At 52.3% G+C, this 14,534-nt stretch overlaps 2 protein-coding genes and 1 pseudogene across 21 annotated transcripts in view, besides 4 other annotated features; 1 reads left to right on the top strand and 2 right to left on the bottom strand.

The window, feature by feature from the left end:
• Positions 1-14,534, bottom strand: part of LRRC61 (leucine rich repeat containing 61) — a 28,658-nt gene that overhangs the window by 3,304 nt on the left and 10,820 nt on the right. Inside the window, exons 1-2 of one of the 4 annotated variants that reach the window (NM_001363433.1) lie at positions 11,641-12,192; positions 8,843-9,012 (exon numbers count right to left, since the gene is read on the bottom strand). The gene's annotated coding sequence lies outside the window, so the exon portion shown is untranslated. Of the gene's footprint in view, positions 1-8,842; positions 9,013-11,292; positions 11,499-11,640; positions 12,193-14,534 lie in introns of those variants that run through there. The other 3 variants (NM_001142928.2, NM_001363434.1, NM_023942.3) reach the window with 3 other exon arrangements.
• ZBED10P (zinc finger BED-type containing 10, pseudogene) lies at positions 2,132-4,670 on the bottom strand (annotated as a pseudogene). Its single transcript, NR_173326.1, has one exon. The product of NR_173326.1 is annotated as a zinc finger BED-type containing 10, pseudogene (transcript).
• Positions 10,669-10,738: an enhancer, noted in NCBI's record as "active region_26822". NCBI's record gives its function as "activates an Ori minimal core promoter by ATAC-STARR-seq in GM12878 lymphoblastoid cells {active_cell/tissue: GM12878}" and the evidence as "EXISTENCE:reporter gene assay evidence [ECO:0000049][PMID:35858748]".
• Positions 11,129-11,448: a silencer, noted in NCBI's record as "silent region_18773". NCBI's record gives its function as "represses an Ori minimal core promoter by ATAC-STARR-seq in GM12878 lymphoblastoid cells {active_cell/tissue: GM12878}" and the evidence as "EXISTENCE:reporter gene assay evidence [ECO:0000049][PMID:35858748]".
• Positions 11,308-14,534, top strand: part of ACTR3C (actin related protein 3C) — a 442,186-nt gene continuing 438,959 nt past the window's right edge. For all 16 annotated transcript variants that reach the window (NR_147012.2, XR_007060145.1, XR_007060143.1 and 13 more), the window contains exon 1: positions 11,308-11,384. The gene's annotated coding sequence lies outside the window, so the exon portion shown is untranslated. The remainder of the gene's footprint in view (positions 11,385-14,534) is intronic.
• Positions 12,059-12,118: an enhancer, noted in NCBI's record as "active region_26821". NCBI's record gives its function as "activates an Ori minimal core promoter by ATAC-STARR-seq in GM12878 lymphoblastoid cells {active_cell/tissue: GM12878}" and the evidence as "EXISTENCE:reporter gene assay evidence [ECO:0000049][PMID:35858748]".
• Positions 12,169-12,278: an enhancer, noted in NCBI's record as "active region_26820". NCBI's record gives its function as "activates an Ori minimal core promoter by ATAC-STARR-seq in GM12878 lymphoblastoid cells {active_cell/tissue: GM12878}" and the evidence as "EXISTENCE:reporter gene assay evidence [ECO:0000049][PMID:35858748]".

The following is a 14,534-nucleotide window of genomic DNA, read 5'->3' as shown; positions in this document are numbered from 1 at the left end:
GAGACGGGGTTTCATCATGTTGGCCAGGCTGGTCTCAAACTCCTGACCTCAGGTGATGCCCCCTGCCTCGGCCTCCCAAAGTGTTGGGATTACAGGCGTGAGCCACCACACCCGGCCCGGGGCTCCCTTCTCAGACATGTGAAATGCAGGTGGGACAGGTTGGAGACAAGAAGACATCCAGCTACACAGCACTCAGCTTGAGTGAGTGTGGCGTGGGGCTCAGGAGGCAGCTGGAGCTCCAGGCTGGAGGGATCCAGGCACCATCAGCAGGGAGATGGCAGCTGGCATCAAGGAGGGCATGCAGTGCATGGGGCCAACCATGCTGGGGATACAGAGCTCTCTAAGAACTCGCAGGCCTCTCTCCAGGAGCAGGCACCCCTCCCACCCACCCGCTATTTCAGGAGTGAATGTGGAAGATGTCCTATGCACGAGCAGCAGAGGTGGAGGCTGACCTACGAGGCTGAATGAACGAGTCTGTGAAGGATTCTGCCAAGCAGCCAGAGGGAGGAGAACACGGAAGGCTTTTAAGGAGTGAGACCAACACTACTAGGACGCCCCACTGGACTCAGACGAGATGAGGCTGGAGACACAGCCACTGGATGAGCAGTCCTGGGCACAGGTGAGGCCACAGTGGGACTGCAGAGGTTAAGTGAATGCCCTGAGGAACTGGGTCAGTGGCTTTTTAGATGGAGATGATGGCTCAGCAAAGGGAGAGAGCAAAGAAGCAGGCAGACAGAGGCAGGCAACTGTGCATGCTCACACCAGGAACATGGTTTACAGAAGAGGAAACGGAGCAGAAAGACCCCACCGGGACAGAAATCGGCCCTTCCCTGTTGCCCTCCAACACACAGCCCTGCACCAGTGTGGCCCCGTCCTGCCCTCACCAGATGCAGGCCTGGGTCTTGGTGATGGGTCGTGCATAACCCTCATTCTCTTGGGGGTCAGTGACCTCTGCTGTGTTTCTGGTCCATCACCTGCACACTGCAAACAGGTAGCCCAGTAGGACTGAGAACCAGCCGGCGCCCACCTGTGCAGACCCAACTAACCATCAGGCTGCCCGCAGACACAAGGAGGATGGCTTCCCGCACGTCCACCTGCTTCAGCACTCCTCCAGAAGGAGCCGTCCTTGTCCTAACTATGGAAATGAAGGGAACAGAGACCTCCTGGCCCAGCAACAGAGTCTGGAAAGAGGACTGGTGACAAGGATGGCACTTGGGCCCTTTGAGGGAGGCTGACTGAGAACCAGGGAAGATGGTCCCAGGCGTTGGTGAGTGTCTTCTGCCTGGGAAATGAGGCCCACAGGGCAGAGCTAAGTCTAGGGGGAGGAACGCTTCAACCCAGAGCAGCCTCGGGTGGACTGGAGGCTCTAACGCTCTAGAAGAGGGCTTCCCAACCCTGGCATTACTGCCATCTGGGCAGGCTGAGCCTTGGTTGTGGAGGCCGTCCTGCACATTGGAGGGTGCTGAGCAGCATCCCTGGCCTTTGTCCACTAGACACCAACAGAACCACTCCCCTTACCCCACTTGGAACAACTAAAGACACCTCCAGACATTGTCAATGTCCACTGGGGGACAAAACTGCGCCTAGATGAAAGTGAAGGTTCTAGAGCCCAAGCCCCCTGGTTCGGTGCCATCAAGCTCTCTCACCCTCTTCCTTTCATCCTCACCCAATCTTCTCACGTTCTTCTCCCGAGCCTCGCTGCCTCACCATTCTAGGCCTCCCAGTCCTCTCCCAGAACATGAGCCCGCTCGGTGATGCCACACAGCAGAGCCACAATGCCACTTCCAAGAACAGTTCCAACTGCTCAAGGATGGAAGCACAGTCACGCACGCTGCCCAAGGCAACCTGAGGATGCATCACATTCTCGGATCCTCCCCGCCCCGACATGTGAGTCAGGATCCTGCGAGTGAGGTACAGGACACTGCAGGGAGAGATCCAGCAAGCCCTGCCCCTCCTATCCCTGCTCTGGAGCCAGGGGCAGTAGTGAGGCCCCTCCCCCAGACAAATCCGGCCCCCTATCACCTGCGAATGTGTCCCCACCACCCCACTCCCACACCTAGTGCTACAGGTAGTGGAGTGATCTAAGCAATCTGGAGGCCAGACTTTAATGCAAATCATACTACTCCAGTTATTAAATGTTTACAAAACTTTATTTAACAGGTGCAATTATTATACTGCGAAAATGAAAATATTGCATACTAAACAGTACCTAGGGTATGATCTCAATGTAAAAGAGGGAAAAATGTCAAACTATTGATAGAGGCTATCTCTGAATGAAAGTAGTTAATTTTTCCTGCTTCCTTACATTTTCAGTAATATCCAAATGTTATAATGAATTGGTCACAGTGAAACACAGGGCTGACAACCCATCCAGGAGAGGCAAGGGAACAGGCTCCTGGGGCTGCCAGCCAGTGAGAGCAGAGTCTGTCCCCTCACCCCCATGGCCAGTGACATGCTCCAAGTTAGGCCTGGAGCCTTCCCCTGCCTCTTCCGACCTGCATCTCAGCAGCCACCCTACCCAGTGACCAGGAGTCCTTAGGCTACCTGGATGCAAGTCTTGCGGGGGTGACGGGCCACCCCCTTCCTTCTTCTCCCATCCAATCCCACTGGTTCCTGGATCCCAGGCCCTCAGCTCTGCCCTAAAGGAACTCTGAGCAATCCATGATGAGTGTGTGCTACACACATCCTTTCTCTCTTCCAAATAAGGGACTTCCCCTTTAAAAGTGGTCCAGGACAAGCAGGGGCAAGGGTGATGGCAGGCAGGGTGTGCAGCCAGCCGCCTGGAGCCCAGGAAAGCTACTGAGGCTGCTGTCACTGGAGGAAGAAACCCCAACGTTTCCAGTAGTCTGGAAATAGACTATTGGTAAGAACGCCATTTGAGGACTGGCGTCTCAGCTCTCCTAGCTAGCTGGTCAGTCCCTTCAGTCGGTTTCTCCGGCCACTCTGAAACCCCCAAAAAGACTGGTGTGTGGGGGTATGTGTGTACTTCCCTCTGGAAATGGCTATTCTACCCTTGGGGTTTCCTTCTCCCTACAGTGAAAGCCTCAGAAAGTGCTGCAATAGCTTATCCAGGCCCCCAAAGGCTGAGGACATATCCCACCTGCCAGCACATGCCCACTCCACATCCTTGGCCACTTTTTGAGAAAGCAAGCCTCTTAAGGGCATGTGTCCACTTATCCACACAGACAAGGTGTATGCAAGGACCTTCATACCCACTTATGTTTTAACAGAGCATCACATGTACAAAGCCACGTAGTACAAAATTCACAGTCACCTACGAAGAGAGTAAGCCTCTTCTCGGCACATACTGCTAGACGTAAAGGAAGTAATCGGGAGATGGAAAATGACATCTCCCAGAAAAAAAAATATGGCAATCTGTCAAGTGAGAAACTGACCCTTTCCTACCAAATAGGTTTAAGATTCTGGCCATGAGCATGTGGCGCCCAGGATGCAACACCCAGCTCTCTGCTTTGACCTATTACAGGCAGGGGCTCTCTAGGAGTTCACGGGCAGGGTGAGCACCGGCACCTGCCATGTCTGCCATCCCACCCTGAGCGGACTGCAGGGTCTGTATCCCCTTGGCCAGGTCACCACTAGAGCAGATGAGGGGAGGCGGGGTGTAGTTGGGGAACTGCTCCAGGTTGGCCTTCAAGAAGAGGAGATGCTCAATGGCTTCCACCTTGAGAGAAGAGTTTTGCTCTACAAGGGTGGGGCTGTTCAGGGAGGCAAAGATGCTTTCAGAGAAGGCTCCTGTGGGGGGTAAGACAGATAGATGGTGGCCAGGCTTCTCGCTTCTTCTCCCAGTAAGCCAGGGGGTCATCCTGGGCTCCAACGGTCTCATTCTCCCACAGATACTTCTTGACAATGATGCTGGCCCAGTGGCTCTTGGTGGACAGCGAGCCCCCGCTTCTCTCAGAGGCCAGCAGCCCCATGCTCTCCAGCAAGCCCTTCTCCCTCTGGGCCAGCAGGAAGGCCCCAGAGTGGCTGCTGCTCTGCAGAGGCTCCCCCTGGCTTCTCCCCTCCACCCCGGAGCTCTTGGCTACCCTGGTGGGGTCCACGCACAGACCCCTGGGGCTTTGCAGGGGACTTGGGGAGTTCAAAGAGTATTCAGACACTCTAATCTCCTTCACCTTGTACACGAGGACTTGCTTCCAGTGGTCAATGTCGGTCGGCCCCCATGGCAGGATGGCCTCAATCTTCCCCTTGAAGCAAGGGTCCAGCAAGGTGGCCAGCACAAACTCCTCGCGGTAGAAGAGCTTGTTGAGCTGACAGTCGGTGCAGAGCTGCCGGGCCAACCCCTCAGCCAGCTGGATGGCTGCGCCCCTCTCCCCGACACTCTGCTCCTGAAAGTGTGTGTGAACCTGCTCCAGGAAGATGTGCAGGTAGCGCAGCTGGGGCAGCACCTGGCTCAGAGAGGCCTGTGCCGCACTCGCCTCGCGGACCACCATCTGGAAGGGCTACAGGAGCTTGCTGAGGCTGTCTGCCGGGCTCCAGAATGTGGCCGACAAGGCAACACCAGCCTTCCCCAGCTGGTGCCTGCCCTTGTACTCTTGAAGGGGCTGCTGCTGCTCCACCAGCCACTCCAGCAGGTGGTAGGCCGAGACCCAGTGGTCCAAGAGCTCCTCAAAGGGCTGGTGGGCTAGGAGGCTGCGCTGGCGCTGGAGCTGGGTGAGGAGTCCCTGGGCCTCCACAGAGCCTTAGAAATGGCTGCAGGTGGCCCTGGCAGTGCCCAGGATGATCTGGACACTGTGAGGGTGACACAGAAAGTTTCTCACCAGGGAGTCGAGGCAGTGGGCGAAACAAGGGATGGGGGAACAGCCCTCACCCTTGGCCGCCTGCTCCAGGCTGGGGCAGCTGCTCGATACCAGGAAGCCTGCCAGCAGGAAGCTACGGCCCAGCCACAGGCTGGCCTGCTCCAGCATCTGCAGCTGCCAGTCCTCCGCGGCTCCCTCCAGGGGCAGGCCTCGCATCCAGAGCAAGGTTCCCAGCATCAGCCCTTGGAACTCCAACCAAGCTCTATCCAAATGCAAACGAGGGCAGCTGGGGGAAATCACTCAGGAGCCTACATGCTTTGTCTGAGGCACTACCCCTAGAATCTCCAGCTTTCAAAAGTGGCCTGGACAGGGAAGTTGTTTTCCTTTTTAAGAAGGACAGGTAATCATAATATTTCCCATGCTGGAGTGAAATGATTAAGCATGAGGCCAGATGACGGACCCAACCCACAGCCACTACCTTCTGAGGGAGGAAATTCCTCATGGGCAGGCCAGGCTTTACTCACATCTTGTTTCCTCACAGCCCACTCTTGGGACAGGGTGCTGGGAAGTGTCCCAAGCAATGGGTGGCGGAGACAGGCAGAGAGTGTGGCTGGGGGACCGCTGCAGACCTGCGGCTCCCACACTCACCCCACCCAGCTCCAGGCCAGTGCGATGGGACTGATTCGCTCCCTTGGATACCGTACCTCGGTCCCCCGTCTCCCGGGTGCCCACAGCACTAGCTGTGTCACCGATACGTCCGTGCATCTTAGCTTTTATTCCCCTTAATGTTGTTTGTGCTGTTGTCTACTTTAATCTCGGTCCCTCACTCTTTACTCTTCTCAGGTACTGAGCAACCTCAGGGATAAGTCGGCAGAAGCTCCAGGCCTGCATAGCAGGAATACTTCTGGTTGTTTTTCTAACCACGAAGAGCAACTATATGGAGGACCCAGCCTATTGAACTACCTCATGTTTGCCAGAGACTTGGCTTTTCTGCCACAGTGTCCTCCTGAAACCCCCCGACCTTGAAAATGTTTCACGGGAGACTAGGTTTCAACTGGATAGCATCAAGACTTGATCTCTGGCTAGTGGAAGATTGAAAATTAGACTAAGGTGCAGAGACACCAAGGGACACCACGGTTAGGTGAGGGTTTCCTAATCCTAGGGCATGGGACTTGCTTCACACACCAGGTCCGTCCTTCACTGGACTGTGCTAGGCCTACCATCCACAACAGAGGGTATGCGTGTGTATTCGTAAAAGACGTGACTTGGGAACGCTAAATTTTAAGACCAGTGCCCCTGTACCCATCCTGTGCTGTCCAGGGAAGGATATATGAAGCAAGAACTAAAATTCTTAACGTTTCCAAATTCTTGGGTTCAAGGGAGCCCCGTAAGAGAGGGCCTCTTCATGTGGTGTGCACAGCCAGCGTCCTGCCCTGCTGCAGCGCTGATTCAGCATCACGGTAACTAAGGAGAAAAGGGGGCTTCATTTACACGCTATAGGATCACCACAAACCTCCCTTGCTGGGCTAGAATGGGACAAGCACGATAGAACGTGTTCAGGGGTGCACATCTGATCCTGGGTTTGTTTCCCCCTGACGCTGCCCCCTCTAGTTCCTGTATCTGTCTGGACTTTGTAGCAGTTGGTGACTGCTAGGTGGCCTAGTTTGTGTAACTATACTGTGTTGGTCTTTCTCCATGTTTTTTTGGGGTTTTATTGTTTACAAACTTTTTTGTATTGAGAGAAAAATGGCCAAAGCATCTTTACAGAAAGTTCTGAACCAGGCAAAAAGGATGTAAAACATGAGTTTGGGGGACCCCCATATTGAAGTAGGGATTTTGAACTATCCTTTCTTTGTGTTCCCCTTCCTCTATTTCCTATTTTGGACCAGATCTTCTGCCCTAAAAACTTGACTTCTACCGTACCTTCTTCTCCATTCACCTACCCCAAAAGAAAACCTACATACCCACACACGCATATATTGAATTCTCAGGCTGTCTCTGCAACTCTTAAATGATGTATGAGAACAGCCTGAAGAAGTCAGGAACCCTCCATCTCTTGTTCCAAACCTGAGTCAATGTGGTTCACCCCAAACACTTAAGACACTGCTTTATTGGGATGGATCAAACCTACTTAATCTGTAATCTCAAAGAAGGGAGAAGCAACCGGGGGCCTTCCACGTAGAAGTGGGGTCAGGAGACCAGGCAAAGGAATATGAGTATATATCTAAGTCACTTAGGAACTTTTACGCAAGTGCAAGAAACTTTTTTTTTTTTTTTTTGAGACAAGGTCTTGCTCTGTCGCCCAGACTGTAGTGGAGTGGTACAATCTTGGCTCACTGCAGCCTCAACCTCCCAGGCTTAAGCGATCCTCCCACCTCAGCTCCCAAGTAGCTGGAACTACAGGTGTACACCAACACACCTGACTAATTCTTTTAATTTTTTTGTAGAGACAAGGTCTCACTATGTTGCCCAGGCTGGACTCCAACTCCTGGGCTCAAGCAATCTTCCTTCCTTGACCTCCTAAAGTGCTGGGATTACAGGTGTGAGTCACCACGCCCGGCCCGGTGCAAGAACTTATGTCAAAGTGGCTACAAGATTGTTTAAAAGGAGACAGATGAATGTAACCCCATGTTTACTGCTAGAAACCAAAGCTTTATGTGAAATCTTGAATTTAGGGGCAGGGAGGGAGGGTAGAAAGGCTTGTACCTTCCCTGATCCCTGCCCCTCAGTCCTGAACTGCAGGAGACCAGGGCCCCTTGGGCTTTGGTTACTCCATCTCTGGGGTGCATCTATTGGATGGCTGATTTTTCTGTACCAGGTACTTCCTTTCCCATTTTCTAATCACTTTGCAACACACATGCTGACCCTTTTCACTTCCCTTCTCCTTTCCCTGGAAAGATATAATGAATACATAAAGACTTACTGGTACTGAAACTCAAAAAAAAAAAAAGATAAAAAAGATCTGACAATGAGTGATGCTAAACATTACTCACCAGGGTAATGTTTAAAAAGGGTCACCAGAGATGGCAGGGCTGCCTATAACAGGTGACGAGATGGCTAAGAAGGCTCAAGCAAGACTCTGGCCAGAAAGAGGAGCTCCTCCCAGCCAGAAGAACCTCAGAAGGGTTAAGTGGCAACAACTTCAAGTCCATCTCGCAAGAACTTTCAGCCACCAATAAATCCAAGAACTGAAGGCCTACTGCAAGGTGGCGCTTGTGTAGGGGCTAGGTAAAGCTGCAAAGGAAACACAGGCTGCTGTCCTGGGCCCACAACTGCTCTTGGATGTCACACTGGAGGGGACTTAACTCTCACTTCATGATTGAGGAAACTGCAACCCCAGAGTGTGAACATCCAGGCCTCCAGAGGCCATCTGCAGAACGGGGTCACCCTCCAAAGTATTTTTTTTTTTTTTTTTTCAGACTGGGTCTTGCTCTGTCACCCAGGCTGGAGTACAGTGGCATGATCTACCTTGTTGCAACCTCTGCCTCCTGGGCTCAAGTAATCCTCCCAAACTCAGCCTCCCAAGTAGCTGGGACTTCAGATGTGCACCACCACACCCAGCTAATTTTTGTGTTTTCTGTAGAGACGGGATTTCACCATGTTGCCCAAGCTGGTCTTGAACTCCTGGGATCAAGCAATCCCCCTGCCTCAGCCTCCCAAAGTATTGGGATTACAGGTGTGAGCCACTGCACCCAGCACACCCCAAAATCTTCATCTTAAGACCTACCCAGTTACCCCAGGACACCAATCTTGTTCTGTTTCCCAATTAGCTTTGTCTCATCATAAATGCTATACTCTGCAGATACTCTTGATTCACTCAATCATTTAACAGAAATTCATCAAATGTCTACTATGAGCCAGCACTCTGCCTTCAAGATATGAACAGAGGAGAGTAGCTGCCTGGCTGGCACTTGGGGCTCAGGATGAGACGACAACCTAGAAATGGGCTCATCATTAGACCAGGGGGAAAGTGGGGTATGGTGCTATGAGGCGGGGAGGGATCCCTGGGGGGCCCCCGGGCTGACCTACTGAGAAACAGGGTCTATTACACTGAAGAGCTTAGACCCGTCTTGCAAGGTGTTGTTTACCTTAGGCTATTGCTTCACAATCTTCAACCCTCGCAGGCCCGTCAGGTAGATCTGGGATTTTGTGTCATCACTGGTACAACAGTGACACCACCATGTTCTCTTCCACAGAAGTACTTTAGGATGACAGTGCAGCTGGCACTGTTGAGAGCCAACCTTGAATCCAAATGAATCTAAAACGTAAATTTTAAAAAGAAAGTCATTGATAAATTTCAGTACTTTATAACTAAGAAGTTACTTGTGGCCAGGTGTGGTGGCTCACGCCTGTAATCCTAGCACTTTGGGAAGCCAAGGTGGGTGGACTGCTTTGAACTCAGGGGGTTGAGACCAGCTTGGGCAAGATGGCGAAACCTTGTCTTTACAAAAAAAATACAAAAAAATCAGCCAGCTGTGATGGCCTGTGCCTGTGGTCCCAGCTTCTTGGCAGTCTGAGGCAGGAAGATGGCTTGAGCAGGGAAGTGGAGATTGCAGTGAGCCGTGATTGCACCACTGCATTCCAGCCTGAGCAACAGAGCCAGACCCTGTCTCAAAAAAAAGAAGTTACTTGTGACACACATCACCACAGCTGACAACACATTGGAGGCCTACAACCACAACAAGACAAGATTCCAAGGGCTTCTAAGCTGAAGCACGGCCTTTTGGGCTGCACGCCTGCCCATAGTCGATCATGTGGGCAGCAGTCAGGAAAGCGCCCTAGCCAGGCCACATGGGAAGCAGGCACATCCCTGGGAGGCAAAAGGGAAAGCGGGCCAGGCCGGGGTGACGGCAGGGCGGGGTGATGGCACAATGCATGGAGGAGACTGTGGGGAGAGCTGTTCAGGAGGTGGCCCATGCCTAAGCCTCAAGTGGAAGAGGAGGAATGATGGAGAGCGCCTCCACAGTGAGCCTCTTTCCTCATACAGGTCCATGTGGGCTATTTTGGGGCAAATCTTCAGGCAAGTTTCTAGAGAAACTGAAGGAAAACACCAGAGGGGGCTGCCCAGGTAATGCTGACAATACAGGGAGGTGAGAGGATGAGCAGATCTCAAAGGTGACTGAGAGGCAGAGGGGAGAGACAAGGAAAAACCAAAGTAAAGTGAAGTTAGGGAAACCAAGAAAAGACTTTCCAAAAGCAGTGGTCAGCGGGGTCAAAGGTCCCTTCAGTGGGCGGTACAGCAGGAAGTGGGGGAGAAGCAGGAACCGGGAATGCTGGAGGTGGGGATGGGAGGGAAAAGGCTTGGCTCTGTCCCTAAACAGAGAGAAGGTGACCTGGGAAGAGCGGGGAGGCTAACTACACAGGGAAGAGAAGCTTCCTGGAGAAAGGGATCCAGGGCACAGGCGGTGGAAGGGATTGGCCTCAAGAGACCAGGAAGAACTCTCATTTTTCCTGACAGAGAAAGTAGGATGGGTCTGGTAGCAGGCAAGTCCTGGAGTGCTGTGCAGAAGGGAAGTGAGGCAGCTTATGCCTGAGAGCCAGGCATGTTGATTGCTCACGGGGAGCCGTACATCTGTAAAGGCAGCCAGCGGCTGGCTGAGTGATCTGGCTTAGCCTGGGCTGGGAAGCACCTCCGCACACTGGCTCAAGAAATTAGACCTATTCTTCTCGCTGCTCTCACCAAGCCTTTTCCCAAGTGCGTGCCCAGAAGGAAAGCGGCCACTCTTCTACTTCTCTTGTGCCTGCAAGAGAAGTAGAACCCCACCCTGGGCATTCCATGATTATGCCAGGCCTTTCTCACTCCGCCCAGTCCCTCTCCAGCCCCTCTGCTCTCAACTCCAGCACTGCAGGGGGACAGAGTGTCTACTCCACCCCCACCAGGCAGGGGATTTTAAGCACCTGCTGGGCCCTCAAGTCTCATCTTCCTCCACAACATCTGTGAGAAGATTGAAAGGTGGTGAGAGAAAGGGATAGGAGGAGATGAACGTGTGAAAGGAAAAGAGGAGAGCAAGCCATTGCATGTTTTGGGGTTTTGTCCCACACGCAAATTTGACTACTTATAAAGTCTAAGCAAGATGTTTTAAATAATAATCATGCATCATTAGGTTTCATACTGTGCAAAAAAAATGACACAAAGTGAGATCTGTTACAAACGACACGGCAGCACTCTGCTACTTTCTGGAAGCTTAGGGCTAACAATGGAGTCAGAGCATGGCATCCAGAGCCCGTCTCTGAGCACGGCCGTGATCCTGCTCCAGCACACGCCTCGGTTTCCTCGTCTACATTACGGGAATAGTAACAGCACCCGCCTCATGAGATTGTTAGTGTTAAACGAGTTAATTAATACCACAGTATTTCAGGGCAGTTCTCGGCACAGAGGGAGAGATGGGTAAGGGCTGGCTGTTCCGGAAGATTCTGGCCTCTCCCAGTGTGTTTCGGCGCGAGGGCACCGCTGGCCCAGCAGGTGGCCCCCCGGGGCCGGCACGGGCCCCGACAGCCGCCCCCTTCCCTGAACCTCGGCGGCCCAGTCCCCGCTTACCTGAGGGGTGGAGCCGGCAGCCTGCGGAGCCACTGGCCAAGCTGGGAAGTCCGGCGCAACTCCGCACCGCAGAGCCGGCGCCTCCTCGGCAGGTAAGAGCCGCAGCCCCGCCGCCCGCCGCCTGGCGGCCCCTGACCCCTGGGCCGCGTGCCCACCACCCAACTTGTTGGCCAGCGTGCTTCTCCCAGCGCCGCAGGCCTGAGCTCCCGGAACGCGCCCAGGGGGCCTGGCCAAAGGCCGTAGTGGGCGCTCTGGATTCCGGGATGCGCCAGGGGTTACTTCCGGAAGCGCAGCCTGCGGGGGTCTTCGCGCGCACCCCCCGCCTCGCAGTTGGTACGTTCCTCCTACCTGCGGTGCCTGAGTGCGCAGGCGTGGGCAGCGAGGCGGTGCGGCCGGAAGCGAAGGGGCCGTGAGGTCAACAGTCGGTAATCGTTTATCGGTGCGGCCTTAGAGAAAGGACCTCCAAGCCCTTGTTCAATACATGTTGGGTGGTGGTCACAGGTGCCAGTCTCCGGACGGATGGCGGCCTAGATTTCCTCCCGGACTCGGTGGCACCCAAGGCCCCCTGCACGCCGGCGCTGTGCGTGCCAGGCTGACCGCCCGAGTGCGACCCGGACCTCGTCCGCACGTGCAGATGGAAGGGGCCACAAAGACGATAAGGATCCAGGTCTCCCGCGTGGAAGGCTCATCTATCGGTCGGTTCAGGAAATCCACCCAGGGTGTCTCCTGGTGTTATCAGAAAGGGGTCCCGATCCAGGCCCTAAGAGAGGGTTCTTGGATCTCATGCAAGAAAGAATTCAGGGCAAGCCCATAGAGTAAAGTGAAAACAAGTTTATTAAGAAAGCAAAGAAGTAAAAGGATGGCTACTCCATAGGCAGAGCAGCTCCAGGGCTACTGGTTACCCATTTTTTGGTTATTTCTTGATTATATGCTAAACAAGGGTTGAATTATTCATGAGTTTCAGAGAAAGGGGTGGGCAGTTCCCGGAACTGAGGCTTCCTCCCCTTTTTAGACCATATAGAGTATTTCATGATGGTGTCATGGCGTCTGTAAACTGTCATGGTGCTTGCTGGTGGGAGTGTCTTTTAGCATGCTAATGCATTATAATTAGTGCATAATGAGCAGTGAGGACCACCAGAGGTCCCTCCCATTGCCATATTGGTTTTGGTGGCGTTTAGCCAGCTTCTTTACTGCAACCTGTTTTATCAGCAAGGTCTGTATGACCTGTATCTTGTGCCAACCTTCTGTCTCATCCTGTGACTTAGAATGCCTAACCTCCTATGAATGCAGCCTCATTTTACCCAGCCCTTATTCAAGATGGAGTAATTCTGGCTTAAACACCTCTGACACTGGGGCAAATGCCTGCTGCCTGATGACTCCCACAAGTCCTTAACACCTAACCCAGAGAACATCTGGGCCTGCATCCACTCTGGTGCTCTGCCACTCCTGCAGCTACAAATTGTGTGGGAGCCGAAGAAGTCATGTTCCCTGGACGAGCACAAAATGCCTGTTTGTCCCATGTTGGTTCCACATGTGCACCAAAGTGAACAACTTTTGTCTCCCTGGCTACCTTGAACTTCTTTCCACCTCCTCAGTTGGACATATTCAAGGGGCTGGCCCGGGGGCAGGCTTCCCTAGTCTTCCCAGGGGCAACCTCAGCTTTTCCCATATCTTTCAGATGACCCTTCTCCTGCCCCAAGCAAATTAATGCCAAGCCAGTCTAGTTCTCCAGCTTGGGCTACAGCTGGGACCCCTGCCCAAGAATAGTGATTTTTATCTTTACACTTTATCCAAGTTTTTTATTTTTATTTTTATTTTTTTGAGATGGAGTCTCACTCTCTTGCCCAGGCTGGAGTGCAGTGGTGTGATCTCAGCTCACTGCAACCTCCACCTCCTGAGTTCAAGCGATTCTCCTGCCTCAGTCTCCCAAGTAGCTAAGACTACAGGCGTGAACCACCACACCTGGCTAATTTTTGTATTTTTAGTAGAGACGGGGTTTCGCCATATTGGCCAGGGTGGTCTCAAACTCCTGACTTCAAGTGATCTGCCCGCCTTGGCCTCCCAAAGTGCTGGGATTGCAGGTGTGTGCCACCCTGCCCAGCCATATGCAAGTTATTTTTAATTTCAGTTGATCTCCATGCCTCGGAGATGGAAGTATTAGTTTCTCCATTATATGGATCAGAAAATTGAGACTCACACAGCATGTTACAGTAGGAAATGGCACTAAAAGAAAAATTATTCAAACAATTGTTAAGGTGAGAGACTTTATTCAAGAACAGCTGCAATAGGGATTATGCAATAGGGGCAAAAAAATCAGGCTTAACATCAAATACAAGGACAGGTGGAGATTTATAGTTAAGCAACAGGGTGGAAGTCAGCAGATGGAAAATTACTAAGAGGACACATAAAGGTTAGGGAGATTTTTGCTGAACACAAGCCGAGGTGATCAGATACCAAGGGTAGGGGATTTTTGCTGAACTGACTCAGCAGGATTCTTGCTAAAACTGAACTAAGTGAGTTAAGGACCAGCCCAGGGTCAGGGCCTAGTCAAAACGAGGACTGAGAGGAGCCTGACTCAAGTTTAGTCAAAGAGTGAGTTCTTTTCATGAGCTACCAATGATTTGAGTTGTATTGTCAGAGGTGTCCTAACTAGAGTGACACTATCCTAAATAAAGGCTGGGGAAGGCAAGACCTGCTGGGTTGCATTCCCAGGAAGTCAGCACTCTTGATCACAAGATGTTTATTGTTGAGGAAACAAGTTAATGGAAAAAGGCATTCTTGTTTTTGTTTTTGTTTTGGAGATGGAGTCTCACTCTGTTGCCCAGGCTGGAGTGCAATGCCACCATCTCGGCTCACTGCAACCTCTGCCTCCCGGGTTCAAGTGATTCTCCTGCTTCAGCCTTCGAAGTAGCTGGAATTACAGATGTGCGCCACTTTACCTGGCTAATTTTTATATTTTTAGTAGAGACGGGGTTTTGCCATATTGGCCAGCCTGGTCTCAAACTCCTGACTTCAAGTGATCCACCCACCTCAGCCTCCCGAAGTGCTGGGATTACAGGCTTGAGCCATGGCGCCTGGCCTGGAAAAAGGCATTCTTAATTTAAACTATATTTTGCTCTAAAGATAATAGTCCACTCATAAATTCTTTCTGAAATTAATTGCACAAGAGAATAACAATACAGATAGTCTGTCACAAGCCGATCACAAGCCTTTGTAATAAAATACACTATTCTTAGCTCTAA

Source organism: Homo sapiens, chromosome 7 (assembly GCF_000001405.40).
Source record: "Homo sapiens chromosome 7, GRCh38.p14 Primary Assembly".
NCBI classification, from domain to species: domain Eukaryota; kingdom Metazoa; phylum Chordata; class Mammalia; order Primates; family Hominidae; genus Homo; species Homo sapiens.
The sequence above is the reverse complement of the archived record's forward strand: the minus strand, read 5'-3'. Positions and strand labels throughout refer to the sequence as shown.